Source organism: Homo sapiens, chromosome 5, assembly GCF_000001405.40.
Source record: "Homo sapiens chromosome 5, GRCh38.p14 Primary Assembly".
Classification (NCBI taxonomy): domain Eukaryota; kingdom Metazoa; phylum Chordata; class Mammalia; order Primates; family Hominidae; genus Homo; species Homo sapiens.
Window position 1 is genome coordinate 180,302,006 of NC_000005.10, and position 19,379 is coordinate 180,321,384.

A 19,379-nucleotide genomic window follows, 5' to 3' on the forward strand; every position below is an offset into this window, starting at 1 on the left:
CTGGGCCGGGTGCGGTGGCTCACACCTGTAATCCCAGCACTTTGGGAGGCTGAGGCAGGTGGATCACGAGGTCAGATCAAGGTCATCCTGGCTAACACGGTGAAACCCCGTCTCTACAAAAAATACAAAAAATTAGCCAGGCATGGTGGCGGGTGCTTGTAGTCCCAGCTACTCGGGAGGCTGAGGCAGGAGAATCGCTTGAACCCAGGAGGTGGAGCTTGCAGTGAGCCGAGGTTGTGCCACTGCCCTCCAGCCTGGGCGACAGAGCGAGACTCAATCTCAAAAAAAAAAAAAAGAAAGCTACTTTAAATAAAATTATTTACTCTATGACTATTTACTCCAAGTATTTAAAGAACAGAAAGGAACTCTGGGGTTATGTCTCTCCTCTCTGCTGTTAGGTGCAGTTTTTAGACGCACGTCATATCCTCGGAGAACAGCCAGGTGGAAGGACAGCAGCTGCAGCGGAATCACGCTCAGGATGCCCTGGAGGCAGTCCACAGTGTGGGGCAGCTCAATTGTCTTATACGCAAACTTGGAACTTTCAGTATCGTCCTTGGAGCACAGTATAATGGGGCGACCCTAGAGCAGAGAAATAGCATCATAAAATAGACCCTCTCTGAAAGAAGCTATCCCTGATGCATACAGAGTATCTGGAAGCTACATTACTGTGATGAGAACAGTCCTCTTTTGCATTTGCTGGAGTCATGGGTGAGGTGGTATGTGTGGGACACAAATGCTTGGAAAGGATAAAGTGTCTGATGCTTTTTGGGGGTTTCTTCCCCTTCCCTGGTAAGGAGATTGCCATCCTGCTGCATCATTTGGCACCCATTTGTGCCTTGCCGAGAGCGGGGCAGACTCACTCCTAACTCTAGCGGGGCTCATAGTCTAGTGGTAGAAAACAAAAACCTAGACAAGCAAACCAAGAAATAAAGATGAATTCCAGGCCGGGCGTGGTGGCTCACGCCTGTAATCCCAACACTTTGGGAGGCTGAGGCGGGTGGATCACGAGGTCAGGAGATCGAGACCATCCTGGCTAACATGGTGAAACCCTGTCTCTACTAAAAAATACAAAAAATTAGCCGGGTGTGGTGGCGGGGGCCTGTAGTCCCAGCTACTGGGGAGGCTGAGGCAGGAGAATGGCGTGAACCTGGGAGGCGGAGCTTGCAGTGAGCCGAGATGGCGCCACTGCACTCCAGCCTGGGCGACAGAGCCAGACTCCGTCACAAAAAAAAAAAAAAAATGAATTCCAAAGAAATGCCACCAAGGCTAGAAAACAGGATAATGTCATTGGGAGACTGGTGAGGTCTCCAAAGCTCTCTCAAAAACAGGAGACATCTGGACTGAACCCTAAATGATGAGGGGACAACCCTCGGCGGAGCATTCTGTGGGAAGGGCATTCCAGACAGCAGGAGCGGCCAGCGCAAAGGCCCGGAGGCGGGCGCGGGCGCAATGAGAGTGGGACGCAGAAGGAAAGCTGGAGTGCCTGGAACTCACTGAAACAGGAGGAAAGGGCCAGATAACGCAGGACTGTGGGTCTCTGTGGCTTGACAGGCAGGTATGGGAGGGTTTTAAGTGGGGAAATGATGCCATTGTGTTTTATACCCTCACTCTGACCTCTGTGCTGAGCCAGGTGGCAACATCTGGATGGGGCACCTCATTGGATTTCACCTCCCCGAAACTTCATGAACTCTGCCCTCCTACCTCAGGGCAGCTGCTGTGTACAAAGCATTTGGTTGGTCTTTGTGGCCGGTTCCAGGAAGGGAGCTCCTGGCTTCTGGACTTTCCCATGTGACAAAAGCATCTTTGTTATTTATGGGAGGTCCCTTGGACTATACCTAACTTTATGCTAAGGTGACGACTCGTGGTGGGCCTGTAGATAGTTCCAGGATGGCGTCTGGCCCTGCTAGAAAGGCCAGCCACATGATTAGAAGGTTGGGGCTTTGAGACATGAGCCTGTCAGTCTGACCTCCCAACCTCCAAGGACAAAAGTGGGGCTGGCGACTGAGTTTGATCACATGGCCAATGGTTCACTCCATCCTGCCTACTTAATAAAACCACAATACAAACTCTGGACACTGGAGCTAGCAGCTCAGGGGAGCTCCCGGGCGACACACAGTGACGTGCTGGGAGGGTGACACATCCTGAGGACACAAGCTTCACATCTGGGGCCCTCAAACTAGGGGTCTCTTCTTTTGGGTTGGCTGTGATTTATATCTTTTATAATAAAACTGTAATCATATAGTCATCTCCTGAGTTCTATGGGTCGTTCTAGAAAATTACTGAACTTCAGGGGAGAGTGGGAATCCTTGGATTCATAGTCAGTTGCTCAGATGTGTGGGTGGACCCCTGGCTTGCAACAGGTGCCTGAATCGAGGGCAGTCTTATGGAAAGCTGTGCCCCTGCCCTATGAGACCTGACCTAACTCCAGGTAGTTCCCATCGGAGCTGCTTGGCCGCAGAACCTGGGGAAACCCTGCCCCAGGGATGTCCACCAGGAGTACCTCCCCTGAGCTCCAGGCTAGGATCTGGTGCTGCTCACAGCAGTGTGGGTCCCTGGGCCCCACCAAAGAGCTGTGTGGGACAGCTGCGGGCTGACCAGCTCCTTTCCAAGTGTGTGCACTCCCCACAGGCGGCCCGGGGGAGGGTGTGTGGTCACAGCCACTCACTGGCCAGACCATCCATCACTGGTACTGGCAGACAGTGGTGAGGTGGGCATGCATGGGGAAAAGCAGGAGAGAGCTGGCCCAGTCCAGTGGAGAGCCCTCACCTGGCGGGCCGTGACTTGCTGCAGGGCGTTCTGGCATTTGGCGAAGCAAGGATCCTTCATAATGACCATGATGACGGGCATCTGCTTGTCAATCAGTGCCAGGGGCCCGTGCTTCAGCTCCCCAGCCAGGATGCCTTCTGAGTGCATGTAGGTTATCTCTTTAATTTTCTGGAAACAGGAGGTGAGATCAGAGTCACACTGGGCAGATGGGGCTGGAGCAGATCAGCCAGAGGGGAAGAAGGGGAACCAGGGGAAGGATGACTCTGGAAGGCAGAGAGCCAAGGGTTGCAAGGCAGACAGATGCCTGGAGTGCTTGACAGCACTGAGGACACCCAGCAAGGGCCTGGGGAGAGGCCTGGCTACCATCCAGAGCATGCACCAGCCCGGGACACAACCTCTGTGTCCCCACACCAGCCCCGGGCACTGCTGTTGTCTCTCTCCAGTCCCACGCACAGCCACCCCTTAGGACAAACAAGTCGGAGTCAGCCTAGCTCACCCCCTGCTCCTCCCTAGCCAGCCACGTGTATAACGACAGCATCGTATTCAGCTTAGCTACACCTTCAGTTAATTATCTGATTAAGCATTTGCCCATTAATAACTTCTAAAGAGTGGTTCCAAGCAAAATCACACAAACTGGGGTGTTATTTGAATTAATTTTTTTCCTGTGTTCAGGTAGATCCATCTCTATTCAGTTACCACAAATCCACGTCATTGAAATGGTGAGACAGTCAAATAAATCATCTCTCGACTCCCCGCTAGCACTGCTGATTTAGGTCAGGGCCACACTGTAAGGAGTGCGGCTCCAGTCTGGAGGCGCAGACAGCTGCAGTGCCGGCCTCCCAGTGACCAGAGGACCATGGGCTCGTGCCAGCAGCCACCTAAACGCTTCTTCCTTCAGCAGACTCATGCGGAGGCATAGCTGCAATGTGCATCTCCCGCCAGCACGTTCAGCCACCGCAGCTCAGCCCCCACCCATGACGCAGAGTCATCTGGGGACTGACAGTGCACCCCAGGCCTTGCCTCTACTGCACTCCAAGAAGCAGCACCTGCCTGTTCTTTAACAGGAGTCAGAATCTCCAGGGGGCAGGTGCAGGAGATGGAGCTCAGTGAGGACAGCCCTGCACTCCCCACCAAGACCAAGGAAATCAACTCTGAATGTTTCCGGTAACCACTTGTAACTGGCATTGTCTTTCTTTTTTTTTTCTTTCTTTCTTTTTTTTTTTTTTCGTTGAGATGGGAGTCTCGTTCTGTCTCCCAGGCTGGAGTGCAGTGGCATGATCTTGGCTCACTGCAACCTCCTCCTCTTGGATTCAAGCGATTCTCCTGCCTCAGCCTCCCATGTAGCTGGGATTACAGGCGTGCACCACCACGCCCAGCTAGTTTTTGAATTTTTGGTAGAGATGGGCTTTTACCATGTTGTCCAGGCTGGTCTCGAACTCCTGACCTCAAATGATCTGACTGCCTTGGCCTCCCAAAGTGCTGGGATTACAGGCGTGGACCACTGTGCCAGCCTAGCATTGTCTTTCAAATGGGGGTGGTGGGGAGGAGATGGGAGAGGATGGCAGCCCAGCTGGGCCACGGTTAATGCCCTCGTCTTGGTGGCCAGTGCAGCCTCAGCTGGAGCACTGTCCCCGTCACCTGGGCTGAGCATCTGCTCCGTGCATGGCATGCTGACAGCGAGGAAAGGGCAAGTCCGAGATGCAGGACCCTGCACGGCTCTCTGCCCACCCTCTGGGCAGCCCTGTGGCCCTGGCACCCTGTCCCTGCCCCATCAGCTTTCTCTTTCCTGGCGTGGATCTTTAATGCTGCAGGGGGCAAATGGCCTGTCACCAATTTTTGAAAAAGCAAGGCCTTCGAAGTTAATTCCTGCAGGATCTCAAACTCCCCTTGGAAGTTTGAGGGGTAACAAGGAAACTCTGCGGAGAACCCACCCCTCAATTTTGGTGGAAAAAAGCGAAGGCCCCATGGACTCAGGTCTGATTCGGGTCCCCTACGTCATCTTGAGTGAGATACTTAAGCTTTCAGAGGCTTTGTTTCCTCCTGAATGAGGGTGAATAGCAACCGCCAACCTCTCAGAAGCAGCTCATGAGGTCTGAGTGAGCTGTTCCAAGTGGACCCTGGCAGTGCCTGGACAGCCGGAGGGGCACACCCCAGGCGCCCTGTCCCTTTCTCCTCAGTAGATTGGGAGATCCCTGGGGGCAGGCACCTGCCTCACCCATCTCTGTGTGCCCAGGGCTAGAAACCTGGTGGAGAGCTGGTGCTCAGCGCAGGCTCACAGGACTGGCCAAGGGGTCCTTAGGCCCGGCCCTCCCCAAGCCCAACGCCCTGCCCTCCTTCCCGCTGGCTCCTCAGGGTCTCCTGTGCCTGTCCTCCGTGGGGGTGGGGGCTGGGGGTGGGGGCTCACCAGGGCTCCTTCCAGGCAGGTGGCATAGTTGTAGCCCCGCCCCATCACCAGCAGCGATCTCTGCGTGTAGAGCTCCAGGGCCAAGTCGTGGATCTTCTCCTCCAGAGACAGCACTTCCTTGATCAGCTCTGGGCCATGCACGGAGCAGAGGGAGAAAACCAGTCAGGCCGACTTTAAAGCAATATTCATGAAGACAAATGCTGGGGTTTAAGAGGAGCTTTTGAAACCGCATCACTTAGCACACTTTGCTTCCTCGCATTCGTTTCAAACGTAGATTACAGGAAATAACTTGGGCTCCTGGCCAGGATTCTGTTAGGATGGGGATTCGTGTTGTGTGAACACTTTCTTGAGCACCAACAAGGTAGGAAGTACCATTTCTCACTCCGTTTTGCAGGTAAGACAACTGAGGCTCAGAGAGGCAAAAATCACCCACTGGAGACAGAGCTGACACCACCAGTTAACACCCCTCTTTCCTGCTGTGTCTCAAGACAAGGCCCCTGTAAGTGGGACCACCGGTTCTCAAACCCTTTGGTCTCAGGACTCCTTTACACTCTTGAAAATTATTGCAAGTCCCTCAAATTATTGCACATCCCCAAGAGCCTTTGTTTTTGAGTTAAATCTGTCAACATTTACCAGATTAGAAAATAACACTGAGGACCAGGCGTGGTGGCTCACGCCTGTAATCGCCGCACTTTGGGAGGCCGAGGCGGGTGGATCATGAGGTCAGGAGATCGAGACCATCCTGGCTAACATGGTAAAACCCCGTCTCTACTAAAAATACAAAAAATTAGCCGGGCGTGGTTGGGTGCGGTGGCTCACGCCTGTAATCCCAGCACTTTGGAAGGCTGGGGCAGGCGGATCACGAGGTCAGGAGATCGAGACCATCCTGGCTAACATGGTGAGACCTGGTATCTACTAAAAATACAAAAAATTAGCCGGGCATGGTGGCGGGCGCCTGTAGTCCCAGCTACTCGGGAGGCTGAGGCAGGAGAGTGGCGTGAACCTGGGAGGCGGAGCTTGCAGTGAGCTGAGATGGCACCACGGCACTCCAGCCTGGGCAACAGAGCGAGACTCCATCTCGAAAAAAAAAAAAGAAGAAAAAGAAAGAAAGAAACTAACAATGAGAAATTTAAAAATATTCACTTTAAAATAACAACACTAAATCTATTACATTACTTCATTTCCAACAAGAATTAGTGAGAAGAATGGCACTGCTTTTTGTTCTTGCAAATCTTTTTAGTGTCTGCCTTTTTAATAAAAGACTGTTGACTCTAATATCTGCTTTCACATTCAATCTGTGGTGATAAGCTCTTTTGGTTGAAGTATAAAAATAAAATTCAGCCTACAAATACAGATTTGTAGTTGGAAAAGCGAGGAGTATTTAAATTATTTTACAAATAATTGTGAATATTGTTCTTTGACACCACAGTACATCAAACTTGAGAAACAGTAGGTTCTTGAAAGGGTAGGTGCCAATATAGAATCTGAAATCCTATCAATAAACTTTTTCTACTTTGTTAGGTTAAAATTTATTTTTCTGTCTTGTGCTTTTAAATGGATCATTTACAAGTGCATAACTCTGTGACATCGTGAACTGGCCACAAAGGTATGTAAATCTTCTTAAAATGGACACTTTTATTATAAAATGTTCTTTAAAAATCACCTTGTTGAAGTCACCTTGATCTCATCAGAGAAGACTTTTTTTTTTTTTTGAGACAGAGTCTCACTCTGTCACCCAACCTGGGGTGCAGTGGCACGATCTCGGCTCACTGTAACCTCGGCCACCCGGGTTCAAGTGATTCTCCTGCCTCAGCCTCCTGAGTAGCTGGGATTACAGGTGCCTGCCACTGCACCCAGCTAAATTTTTTAAATATTTTTAGTAGAGATGGGGTTTCACCATCTTGGATAGGCTGGTCTTGAACTCCTGACCTCATGATCCACCCACCTCGGCCTCCCAAAGTGCTGGGATTACAGGCATCAGCCACCGTGCCCGGCCCTAGAGAAGTCTTTAAATGTTAGGAACTGGTCAAGCTCATGGTAACAGAGGTGTTTTCTAACACTCAAAAGTTTTGCCTGGGAGCTTAAAGTTTATCATTGGCAACAAATACCATGGGTTGCTTCTACTGATGCGTCAGCTGATTTTTCATTTTGAGAAAATGTCTAACAAACACCAAAATCAGCTTGCTACTCAATGGGATGGCTGCTTCTCTTGAGACAAGCATCACACTTCAGTGTAGAGCAGAAAGGCTTTTTCTCTTTTTCCAGACGGAGTTTTGCTCTTGTTGCCCAGACTGGAGTGCAACGGCGTGATCTCAGCTCATTGCAACCTCTGCTTCCCAGGTTCAAGTGATTCTCCTGACTCAGCCTCCCAAGTAGCTGGGATTAAAGGCGCACACCACCACACCCAGCTATTTTTAGTAGAGATGGGGTTTCACTGCGTTGGTCAGGCTGGTCTCGAACTCCTGACCTCAGGTGATCCGCTCGCCTTGGCCTCCCAAAGTGCTGGGATTACAGGCATGAGCCACCACGCCTGGCCCCAGTAGAAAGGCGCTACGTGTACTCCCCATTTCATCATAAAGGATATTACAAAGAGTTGCAATTTACAGACTAATAATTTTTACCACCTCATCAAGGCCATTCCTTTTTTTTTTTTGAGATGGAGTATCACTCTGTCACCCAGGCTGGAGTGCAGTGGTGCGATCTCGGCTCACTGCAAACTCTGCCTCCCAGGTTCACGCCATTCTTCTGCCTCAGCCCCCCGAGTAGCTGGGACTACAGGTGCCCACCACCACGCCCGGCTAATTTTTTGTATTTTTAGTAGAGACGGGGTTTCACCATGTTAGCCAGGATGGTCTCGATCTCCTGACCTCATGATCTGCCTGCCTCGACCTCCCAAAGTGCTAGGATGACAGGCATGAGCCACCGTGCCCAGCCTTTTCTTTTTGAGATGAAGTCTCGCTCTTGTCGCCCAGGCTGGAGTACAATGGCACAATCTCGGCTCACTGCAATCTCCGCCTCCTGGGTTCAAGCAATTCTCCTGCCTCAGCCTCCCAAGTAGCTGGGATTACAGGCACCCACTAGCACGCCCAGCTAATTTTTGTATTTTTAGTAGAGATGGGGTTTCACCATGTTGGCCAGGCTGGTCTCGAACTCCTGACCTCAGGCGATCTGCCCACCTCGGCCTCCCAAAGTACTGAGATTACAGGCGTGAGCCACTGCGCCTCACCATCAAGGCCATTCTTTTTTGTTTTTTGAGATGGAGTCTCACTCTGTTGCCCAGGCTGGAGTGCAGTGGCAGAATCTTGGCTCACTGCAACCTCTGCCTCCTGGGTTCAAGTGATTTTCCTGCCTCAGCCTCCCGAGTAGCTGGGATTACAGGCACCTGCCACCACATCCAGCTGCTTTTTGTGTTTTTAGTAGAGATGGGGTTTCACCATGTTGACCAGGATGGTCTCGAACTCCTGACCGCAGGTGATCCGCCCACTTCAGCCTCCCAAAGTGCTGGGATTACAGGCGTGAGCCACCGCGCCCGGCCATCAAGGCCATTCTTAAGGGAAACTGGGTGTGTGCTGGTGAAGGACACAATGACCAGTAGGCCTTCTAGTGTGCTGGGTGCCGGGCACAGCCACCACTGCCTTTGCAAATGTGGACACAGGCAAAAAAAAAAAAAAAAAAAAAAAAAAAAAAAATTTTTAGTATAAAGAATGTATTACTATGTGAACAATTTTGTTCAAAGGGCTTTGCAGACACCCAGGACCTGTGGACCACATCTGGAGAACCACTGACTTAGACGTCAGAATTGGGTCCTGTTTTGCATGGTTATGACCTGGCTTAAAGGAAGAATGCTTTTCTCAGAAATAAACTTTCAGCAAGCTGTCTCGGCCAGTGTCAGGCCCCGAGGGCCTGGAATTGACCATTCTCTATGATGGCCCTTCCCCAACTGCCTGCTCTGGGGTTTGGCCCTGGCTCCCAGGGAAGCTCCAGCGTCCACTCTGTCTCTGGGAGGGCACTCCCCAGAAGCCCCATGATGTCCTGTCCGCAGTGAGCGTTCCATGCCAGCCTGGGGCGAGGCTCGATTCATCTCCGCCTCTCAGGCCTGCACAGAAGTCTCTCTCCTACTCTGGCATGTGAGTGACTGAAGGAGGTGAGCTGCTGCTTATCTTGGCAGGCCAGGGATAGCACATGGGACAGGGCACGGCACTGGTTCTTAATATATGTGGTGGATGAATGAAGAAAGGGGAGGCCACGGTCCCCAAGGAGGTCATGATTTAGTGCAACAGATATTGTATCTCACCAGCTACGACAGCTGCGACTGCTGCTGCCCAGCAAACGGGGAAAGTGTGGTGGGGCTGCCAAGGAGCGCCTGGCATAGGAAGGACCTGGGGCCATTTGCTCTTTCTCGAGTACTTACTGAGCACCTACTGTATGCCTGCCCTGTGCTGGACACCAGCTGTCCAGTGGCAGCTCTGGCAGACAGAGCTGTGTGTTCACGGAGCCGACATGTTAGTTGGGGGAGACAGGCCAGTCAACAGGTGAACAGGGAATTTCAGGTCATGAGGTGTGTTATGAAAAAAATAAACAGGCTAATGTTTCACAGAGTGCTGGCGTCGGGGCCTCTGTGAGCATGGCCAGGGAGGGTCTCAGGAGGTGACATTTGAGCTGAGGTTTGGGAGATGAGAAGCTGTCGGCTGTATGCAGAGCAGGAAGAAGATGGTTCAGCAGAGTAAAGAGCCAGTGCGAAGGCCCTGCGGTGAGAAAGCACTGAGCACTGCTGAGGACCAGGGAGGCAGGGAGGCTGAGGACCAGGGAGGCAGGGAGGTGGGGAGGCTGAGGGGCAGGGAGGCAGGGAGGCGGGGAGGTGGGGAGGCTGAGGGGCAGGGAGGCAGGGAGGCGGGGAGGCTGAGGACCAGGGAGGCAGGGAGGCTGAGGACCAGGGAGGCAGGGAGGCGGGGAGGCTGAGGACCAGGGAGGCAGGGAGGCTGAGGACCAGGGAGGCAGGGAGGCTGAGGACCAGGGAGGCGGGGAGGCAGGGAGGCAGGGAGGCAGGGAGGCAGCGCGGCAGCGCAGGGGGAGGTGGGGGCCGAGCAGGATGAGGTCAGAGGCAGCAAGGCCTCCAGGAGGGAGTTGGGGAAGCTAGGAAGTTTTAGGAGGAAGAAGAAATGAACAACATCCTGTACAGGTGAGAGTCAACAGAGAATGGCCAGCAACAGTCCACTAGATCTGAAAACATGGAAAGCTGAATTCTAGAACATACCAGGTAAAGATCTCAAGCCACGGATGATCTCTTGCCTCCTGTTTTGTAGTGAAATTCGGTCTTCAGACATCATCAAACCAAACATCACCAGAGAGATGAACTGACTGGTATAAGCCTGTGCACAAAGAAGGAGGTGGCAGGGACCTTATTTTCACTTTTTAAATCAACTTTTATTTTTGAGACAGGGTCTACTCTGTTGCTCACGCCTGAGTGCAGTGGCGAGATCACGGCTCACTGCAGCCTCAACCTCCTCAAGTGATTCTCCCACCTCAGCCTCCCGAGTAACTGGGACTACAGGTGCCACCACCCTGCCCAGTTAATTTTTAGGTTTTATTTATCTATTTATTTATTTCTATTTTGTTTTTGAGACAAAGTCTTGCTGTGTCACCCAGGCTGGAGTGCAGTGGCTCGATCTCGGCTCACTGCAACCTCCACCTACCAGGTTCAAGCGATTCTCCTGCCTCAGCCTCCCGAGTAGCTGGGATTACAGGCACCCGCCACCACACCCGACTAATTTTTGTGTTTTTAGTAGAGACGGGGTTTCACCGTGTTAGCCAGGATGGTCTCAAACCCCTGACCTCAGGTGATCCCCCTGCCTCGGCCTCCCAAAGTGCTGGGATTACAGGCCTGAGTCTCCGCACCTGGCCTAAGTTTTATTTTTGAAGGGACGGGGTTGCCCGGGGCGGTCTGGAACTCCTGGGTTCAAGGGATGCTCCCGCCTCAGCCTCCCACAGTGCTGGGATTCCAGGGGGGAGCCCCGTGCCAGCCCTAAAGGACTTTAAAATAAGCATCTCCAAGGTGCTCAAAGAGCCACAGGACAACATGGACGAAACACAGGAACGTGGCATGGGAATAAAATGAGACTAAATGAAGATATGGGGGCCGGGCACGGGGGCTCACGCCTGTAATCCCAGCACTTTGGGAGGCCGAGGCGGGCGGATCACGAGGTCAGGAGATCGAGACCATCCCGGCTAACACGGTGAAACCCCGTCTCTACTAAAAATACAAAAAATGAGCCGGGTGTGGGGCGGGTGCCTGTAGTCCCAGCTACTCGGGAGGCTGAGGCAGGAGAATGGCGTGAACCCGGGAGGCGGAGCTTGCAGTGAGCCGAGATCGCGCCCCTGCACTCCAGCCTGGGCGACAGAGTGAGACTCCGTCTCAAAAAAAATAAATAAATAAAATAAAAATAAAAATAAAAAAAATGAAGATACGGGAATCCAAGAGGGGAGGGGAAAGGAAAGGAGCGGAGAGAAGGGGTGAGGCGGGAAGGGGAAAGAAAGGCGGTGGCGCGGGCAGAGCAGGCCGGAGGAGGGCGGCCTCTGGTGCACCTGCCTCCGCCAGGCTCTCCCTGGGACGGGCGCCCGTGGCTCCTCCTACCTTGGTGCTGGCCACGCCGATCTCCGGCCCTGCGTTGATGTGGACGCCGCAGTCGGTCTCGCGAGAGATGGAGCTGCCCACGGTGTTGGTGACGCCCACGGTGAGAGCGCCGCGGTCCTTACAGTAGCGCAGCGCCAGGAGGGTGTCCGCGGTCTCGCCTGCCGCCCAGGGGCCCTCTCAGTGCCGCGCTCCGCCAGCCTCGGCCCCACCCCAAACCCCTTCCTCCTTCACCGCCGGCTCTTACAGGGAAATCGGCGCCCGAGACACAGCCAGCGGGTGTTCAGAAAGGAAAACGCTCGCTCAACAGCCTTTTCGGTTGATTCTTACATTCAAGGTGTGTTACTATTTGTGGCAAGCATCTTTTCATTTAAATCTCGTGACAACCCCGTGAGGACCATCGTCCCCATTTTCCTCTTGAGGATGAGGGCTCAGAGACAGGAGGAAACCGGTGCTCTGATCAAAGCCATACAGCTGGTGACAGGTGGGCTTGGCTCCCAGCGCCCTCTCTGCAACTGAATAAGCTGCCTTATTCAGAACGTGCTGAGATGGAACAGATTTAACATCTGACAAGCAGGAATGTCCCCAAGTGGTGTTTCTCAGCTAGATCCTGTTTGAAAGGACACTTCTTGCAAGCCTCTCAGTGTGGACTCAAATTGTTTTTAGAATAAAGCTAAACAGCTTCATGCATAAACCAGCACAAGCTCCCTATGTTTGTGAGTCCTAAAGCACTCAAATTAAATTCAGCATAAGCCAGACTATAAAATCAAAACTGTTGAAATCCTCATGAGTCGGGAGGCTGTTCTGTTTGCAGGGCCACTGCTCTTGGCTGTGTCTGTCCCAGCTTTGCAGGGCAGGCAGGTGCCGCCCGGTGCTAGGTGGCCCAATTCTCCTCTGCTTTTCTTTCTTCAGAGCCCTGGGTTATGGCACTGGAGTGTCACGGGGTACTGCGGTGAGGGTGCGGGAAAGGGGGTTCTAACTTCTGTCACCCGCGCCCTAGGGTTCGATAGTGTTTTTTCAATCTCATTAAAGGGCTGACTTCTATACACACAGAGATTCGGAAGCTGCCACTGCATTATTTTCATATTAGCTCCACCTCTGTTCTTTTGTTAATGTCTCCCACCAATTTATAAAATAGTCTGAGGCTCTGGTGGGATCAGAAACCCAAAGGTGAACACGGCAGCAGCTCCTGCGTCATAAGGTGGTGGGCCGGATGGTCGGTGTATCTGTACTGGTTTTTCTTCACTTGTCAACAAAATGGAAATGGTATTTAAAATGGAAAATGGCAGGAGTACTAAAAGTCCTAATAGATGATAGGGCATTACAATCAGTATTTTAGTTGTGGTAGTAACACCGTGGTCATACGTTTTTCTTTTTCTTTTTTTTTTTTTTGAGACGGAGTCTCGCTCTGTCGCCCAGGCTGGAGTGCAGTGGCGCGATCTCAGCTCACTGCAAGCTCCGCCTCCCGGGTTCACGCCATTCTCCTGCCTCAGCCTCCTGAGTAGCCGGGACTACAGGCGCCCGCCACCACGCCCGGCTAATTGTTTTATATTTTTAGTAGAGACGGGGTTTCACTGTGTGAGCCAGGATGGCCTCAATCTCCTGACCTCGTGATCCGCCCACCTCAGCCTCCCAAAGTGCTGGGATTACAGGCGTGAGCCACCGCGCCCGGCCGGTTATATGTTTTTCTTTTGTCATTTTAATCATGCAGCCTGAAGTATTTATATGGATGAATATCATGATGCCCGGGATTGGCTTCAAAGTAACCCCATGGAGACGAGGGGTTAATATGAGTGTGTCCGACCGGCACAAGATGGGCTGGATAAGGCTAGGATATTCATTATATGAAAATTCTACTTTTATAAAGGCTTGGAATTATCCGTAATTAAAACATTTCAAAAATCTTCCACGAGCTCAAGGAGACTCCAAGCCTATGGCCCTGGATCACCTCCCTGAGACAGCTGGAGCAAATGTCAAGCCCAGTGTTGGGATGGCACCAGATGGGGTGCATGTAGCTTGGGAGACCTTCCTTGGCCCTAAAAGGGAGCACTGTCTCCCCCACACCTCCCCCTGCTGGGCAGCATGGGCACTGCATGCCACAGGCAGCTCGGCTTGGACACTTGGGCACAGAGCCCATACTGGGTCCTCCACGTGACTCTCAACCTAACAAAATGTTAAAGGAGATGCTTTTTCTATTAACATAAATCAGCAAACATTTATGAGCACTTCGGTAAGTGGTCCTTGAAGTCTTGGATAGGCAAGAAGAGGGAGAAGCCACGGGGCAGGGGAAAGACTAACGTGCGTGGATTTCCAGCCCAATCCCAGCTGTCACCCCCTGACTGCATGGCCTTAGACATCTCTTGCCCTCCCCGTACAATGGCGACAGTAATCCATGGCTCTACGGGTTAAATGACCGCTGCAAGAGAGGGTTCGCAGCACAGGGTAGCCATGCAGAGGACTTAACTGAATGAAGGAGAAGAGGAGAGAGCCCAGAGCTGACCTGATGCAAGGCTGGCCACAATGCCTGTGTCCCTTACCTGACTGGCTGATGAAAAAGCAAACGTCATCCCTGAACACAGGTGTGTTCCTGTCCAGAAAATCACTAGCAAGTTCAACCATCACAGGAAGCTCAGTCAGTTCCTCCAAAACTTGCCGCGTCTGAAGCCAACAAGCAAGCATGGAGACTAAAGTCAGTCACAGGCACGACAGGGACATGGGGCAGCTGGGCTTCTAGGGACAGTTTGTGACACGGAACCTCACTGTCCAGGTGGCGAGGGGACTTCGGTCACCCACAGGCCACCTCGAAGATAAAAGGGCTCCGTGTCATTTCTCACGCTAGCTCATGGGAATGGGTACAAGGGCTTAGCCAAATTCAGAAGGCCACATGAGTGATAAAACTGAAGGCCAGTGTCTGGTCCTAGACTGCCGTCGACTTCCCCACGCACATGTGTCACACTTACAGCCACGGCAGCGTGGTAGCTGGTTCCACAGCCAATCACGATGAGCCGTCGGCATCGTCGAATCTCCTTCAAGTGGTCCTTCAAGCCACCCAGGAGCACTGCAGGGCACACGACAAGGCGTTAATGCTGAGTCTACACAGTCACCGCATTCCCTGAGACTAGGCTCGGGCGGAGGCTCCCCACCGAGTGTAGGAATTACCTGTGTTGGTTTCAAAATTCACCCGACCTCTCATAGTATTGAAAACTGATTCTGGCTGTTCGAAGATCTCCTTCTGCATAAACGCACTGAAGTTACCTGGTCAAATAAACGTCTGGTCAGTTTTAATTTCATTATATTTCACTGCTTTTCATTATGCAGCAGCGATAGTAACTCCTGTAAAGCTTACTGCAGATTCCCAAAGGCATCCCCAGGGATTACCCTGCCTGACACTCACTACCATCAGAGGGAAGCAGGTCAGGAACCAGGACTATCTCCAATTTACATATTGGACCCTGCAGCTTGAGAAAGGGAGGGATTTGCCCAAGGCATGCAAGTAACAAATGGCCTGGCTGATCCCTCTGGGCCATGCTCCCTTAGCAAGGCCAAAAGAAAGTAAAGTGCTTCACTCCCAAAAAGCCATCCAGCTAGGAAAGTACAGCTAAGCAGGCCCAAAGAAACAGGCAATTTTCCTTCTAATAAATACCCTCCTGGTTTCCGTAATAAAAACCTTTCCAGGCCGGGCGCAGTGGCTCACGCCTGTAATCCCAGCACTTTGGGAGGCCGAGGCGGGCGGATCACGAAGTCAGGAGATCGAGACCATCCCGGCTAAAACAGTGAAACCCCGTCTCTACTAAAAATACAAAAAATTAGCCGGGCGTAGTGGCGGGCGCCTGTAGTCCCAGCTACTTGGGAGGCTGAGGCAGGAGAATGGCGTGAACCCGGGAGGCGGAGCTTGCAGTGAGCCGAGATCGCGCCACAGCACTCCAGCCTGGGCGACAGAGCAAGACTCCGTCTCAAAAAAAAAAAAAAAAAAACCTTTCCAGCCACACAGGCATTTCCAGGGCTCTGATTTGAGTGGGATTGGATGGTGCTGATGGGACAATGGGGCTGCAGGGTGTTCAAGCCCCTGCACCTGATGCTCTGGAGGTACCCACAGGCAGGGCAGGCCGTGTTCTCTAGGATACGCACACTCATGACACCAACATCGCCCATGCTCCCGGCCTGTCTCCCATGACCTGGCACTTGTGCGACGAGCAAATGAAGCAAGTGAGGGGAATGAGGGGTGGCCACCATAGGGGAGGGGCTGGGGAGGGACCATGGCAGACACAGGAGCAGAGAAGGAGTCTCTGAGGGGGTGACATTTCAAGGGAGCTGGAGGCAATGAAAAGGAACCAGTCCTATGAGAAGAACAGCGAATGCAGGGGCTGTGGCGGGGCACAGTGGGACAGAGGGTTGAGTGTGGTGGGGCCAGGCTTTGGCCCCACTGGGGTGTGGGGTTTGTGGGCTGTGGCAGGGAGTTTGGATTTTATTCTAAGAACAGTAGGAAACCATTGGAGGGCCTTGAGCAGCGGGATGATCACAGGGGCTGATTCATGTTCTTAGACGTTTGCTCAGGCTGCCCTGTGGGGTAGAGGTTGTAAGGGGACAGAAATGGGTGCAGACAGAGAGGCTCTCCTTGTAGGGAGAAAGTGTACCCCCACCCCCCATTTACTGCAGACCTGCAGACTTCCACCCAGAGGAGAAATGATGCCTGAGGGTGGGCATGTGTCCCGCGGAGTCGGTGAAGGAAGGCAGCTGACACACTGGGCTCAGTTCCAGTAGGAAAGACCTGGCGGCTGGCTGCACACAGGAGCCCCCGCTTGGAGGTGCCAGGCCAGCCTCCCCACATCCCCTCACCTGTGCAAGCCACAGGCTACCTGCAGCCCCGCCCTGGTGGCCACAGAGGGCAGGAGGGCTGTGGCCTCTACTAGGACCAGGCAGAGTGTCAGGAGCTCCACCAGGCGCGCTGGCTCCCGAGGCTGCCGCACGTGGACTCTGGAGGACACCTGCCTTTCATGATTTGCTGCAGTTCCATCTGCAAGGTCTGGATGGCTCGAGATGGGTCATCACTGGCCGAGCGCTTGACCCGGTGAATGGAGAGTTTCCCATCAGCCACTGCGGCGATGTCATCGTCCTCCAGGAAGATGACCCGGTTGGTGTGCTCTATGATAGCGCTGGGGCAAGGGAAACAGGCATCATCAGTGCCCTGCCCTGAGCAGTTACGAGGCAGCAGCCCCTTGCTGGTTCCCAAGCGTGGAGGCCACATCGTTGGCATTTTAGGAGGGACAGAGAGACCACACTAAAAACATTGATTTGCAGGTGAATCTTCCTTTTCTTCTCCACTCTTCCCTCCTGTCCCCACGGAATTATTTTGAAGCCAGTCCCAGACATTATATCATTTCTTCTGTAAACACTTTACCATAGAGCTCTAAAACTATTTTAACCTACTATAATACCATAATCATATCTAAAATGAATAGTTGTTCCTTTATATCATCAAATATTCAGCATGTTTACATATCTCCAATAATCTCACGGCTGTCTTTTTATAACCGGTTTCTTCAAATCAGGATCCAAACAATGTCACCTCTGGAAGATACTCGAGAACCAACACATTATTCTGAATCGTGAAGGGAAAGAATAAAGCATTTATCTCGCCTTTCTAAACAATCTGTCTTTCAGAACAACCACATACTTTATGAAGGCAAGTTTCTCTAAGAAGTGATACAGCTAGTAATGAAGAAATAATAGAAGAATCAATTTATGAACTCCTAATTATTAATAGCTCTAATCAAGGACCATTCATGGCTGTTGAAACCAGAAGGTAAAAAGCTGGACGAAGCTTTATCATGGATGGATAAGGCTGGCAACACTCAAACCCCTGATGGCTCTTAGCACAAAAAGAGAGATGGTGAGACATCACCCGCCTCCTGATGGAAGGACACACCACCAACTATGTAGTCTTGCCAAAAAAAATCAAACCTGAATAAGATCGAGCTTTTAACACTTGTAAACTCCAGCGTACAGGAAACACAGGGGACAGAGGAAGATGGTAAATGACACCAGGGGTTGCACTCAGCAAAACCCAGACAATGGGAAACTCATCAGGACAAAAGACCTAGTTTCTTACACACACACACACATACACAAAGGAGCCCTAAAAGTAGTCTACAAGCTATGCTTACCAAAGAAACATAGGGTCATTGTGTTTATTTATTTATTTATTTTGAGACAGAGTCTCGCTCTGTCGCCCAGGCTGGAGTGCAGTGGCGCGATCTCCACTCACTGCAAGCTCTGCCTCCCGGGTTCACGCCATTCTCCTGCCTCAGCCTCCCGAGTAGCTGGGACTACAGGTGCCCGACACCATGCCCGGCTACTTTTTTGTATTTTTAGGAGAGACGGGGTTTCACCGTGTTAGCCAGGATGGTCTCGATCTCCTGACCTCGTGATCCGCCCGCCTCGGCCTCCCAAAGTGCTGGGATTACAGGTGTGAGCCACCGTGCCCAGCCCATTGTGTTTATTTTTATAACTTTCTCTGTATGGAAAAGAATAATGATTTTTTTCCCTTGAGATCATAATACAAAGTATCTTTTAAAATCATTTTAAGTTTGAAAAGTTGCTAAATGAAAAAGAAAGGTGATTAATGGTATATAGTTGTGGTATAAACCATCAGGTTGGGCTTGAAGGACTACTGGAGAAAACACTCTCGGCCGGGAGCCCTGGCTCACACCTGTAATCCTAGCACTTTGGGAGACCAAGGCGGGAAGATCACCTGAGGTCAGGAGTTTGAGACCAGCCTGGCCAACATGGCAAAACCCCGTCTCTACTAAAAATACAAAAATTAGCCAGGTGTGGTGGCGGGCACCTGTAATCCCAGCTACTTGGGAGGCAGGAGAATCACTTGAACCCAGGAGGCGGAGGCTGCAGTGGGCTGAGATTGTGCCACTGCACTCTAACCTGGGTGACAGAGCAAGACTCCGTCTCAAAAAAAACACTCTCATTCTATCAAGAGCCACACCCACACGTGACTGCCTGAAAATGAACACTTAAACTCCTGGTGCAAAGGTAAAGAGAGAAACCATCAAGGTCTAAGGCTCTAAAAGACGTATATCCAGCCAGATCCTAGGGAAGAAAGAGAAAGAAAGATGGCAAGCCACTGTACTGGAAAAAATATTTTAAACAAAACTTTGTATAAAAGTATACAAATAACTTCGTATGCTTTGTATAAAAGTGTACAAATAACTTCGTATGCTTTGTATAAAAGTGTACAAATAACTTCGTATGCTTTGTATAAAAGTGTACAAATAACTTCGTATGCTTTGTATAAAAGTGTACAAATAACTTTGTATGCTTTGTATAAAAGTATACAGAGCTTTATACAAAATTTTGTATAGAAATATATTTTTTTGTATAAAAAGTAGAAACATGGAGTGACAAGAAGTAAAAACGGCCCTATCCTGTCTCCGAGAGATCAACACTGCTTCCATTGTAGCATTAACCAACCAACAATGCATGACGCATGTGTGTTTATATTTATGTGTGCATGTACATGTTTGTTTAAATATAATTATTTTATTTCCAAAATGGGTAGTCATGTAATCT

General features: G+C 51.3%; 1 protein-coding gene across 1 annotated transcript in view, besides 3 other annotated features; it reads right to left on the bottom strand.

Annotated features, from left to right (window-relative positions):
* GFPT2 (glutamine-fructose-6-phosphate transaminase 2) overlaps positions 1-19,379 on the bottom strand; it is a 52,639-nt gene that overhangs the window by 1,308 nt on the left and 31,952 nt on the right. Inside the window, exons 10-18 of the mRNA NM_005110.4 lie at positions 16,788-16,951; positions 14,958-15,053; positions 14,759-14,856; positions 14,336-14,456; positions 11,802-11,959; positions 10,425-10,539; positions 5,171-5,298; positions 2,767-2,934; positions 418-579 (exon numbers count right to left, since the gene is read on the bottom strand). Of these exons, the coding sequence (NP_005101.1) occupies positions 418-579; positions 2,767-2,934; positions 5,171-5,298; positions 10,425-10,539; positions 11,802-11,959; positions 14,336-14,456; positions 14,759-14,856; positions 14,958-15,053; positions 16,788-16,951 (1,210 nt within the window). The remainder of the gene's footprint in view (positions 1-417; positions 580-2,766; positions 2,935-5,170; positions 5,299-10,424; positions 10,540-11,801; positions 11,960-14,335; positions 14,457-14,758; positions 14,857-14,957; positions 15,054-16,787; positions 16,952-19,379) is intronic.
* Positions 3,906-4,420: an enhancer, noted in NCBI's record as "H3K27ac-H3K4me1 hESC enhancer chr5:179732911-179733425 (GRCh37/hg19 assembly coordinates)". NCBI's record gives its function as "activates a minimal SCP1, AML or CMV promoter by ChIP-STARR-seq in naive H9 embryonic stem cells {active_cell/tissue: H9 hESC(naive)}" and the evidence as "EXISTENCE:reporter gene assay evidence [ECO:0000049][PMID:30033119]".
* Positions 4,421-4,934: an enhancer, noted in NCBI's record as "H3K27ac-H3K4me1 hESC enhancer chr5:179733426-179733939 (GRCh37/hg19 assembly coordinates)". NCBI's record gives its function as "activates a minimal SCP1, AML or CMV promoter by ChIP-STARR-seq in naive H9 embryonic stem cells {active_cell/tissue: H9 hESC(naive)}" and the evidence as "EXISTENCE:reporter gene assay evidence [ECO:0000049][PMID:30033119]".
* Positions 11,744-12,038: an enhancer, noted in NCBI's record as "tiled region #4162; HepG2 Activating DNase unmatched - State 4:PromP, and K562 Activating DNase matched - State 4:PromP". NCBI's record gives its function as "activates a minimal TATA promoter and a strong SV40 promoter by Sharpr-MPRA in HepG2 and K562 cells {active_cell/tissue: HepG2 | K562}" and the evidence as "EXISTENCE:reporter gene assay evidence [ECO:0000049][PMID:27701403]".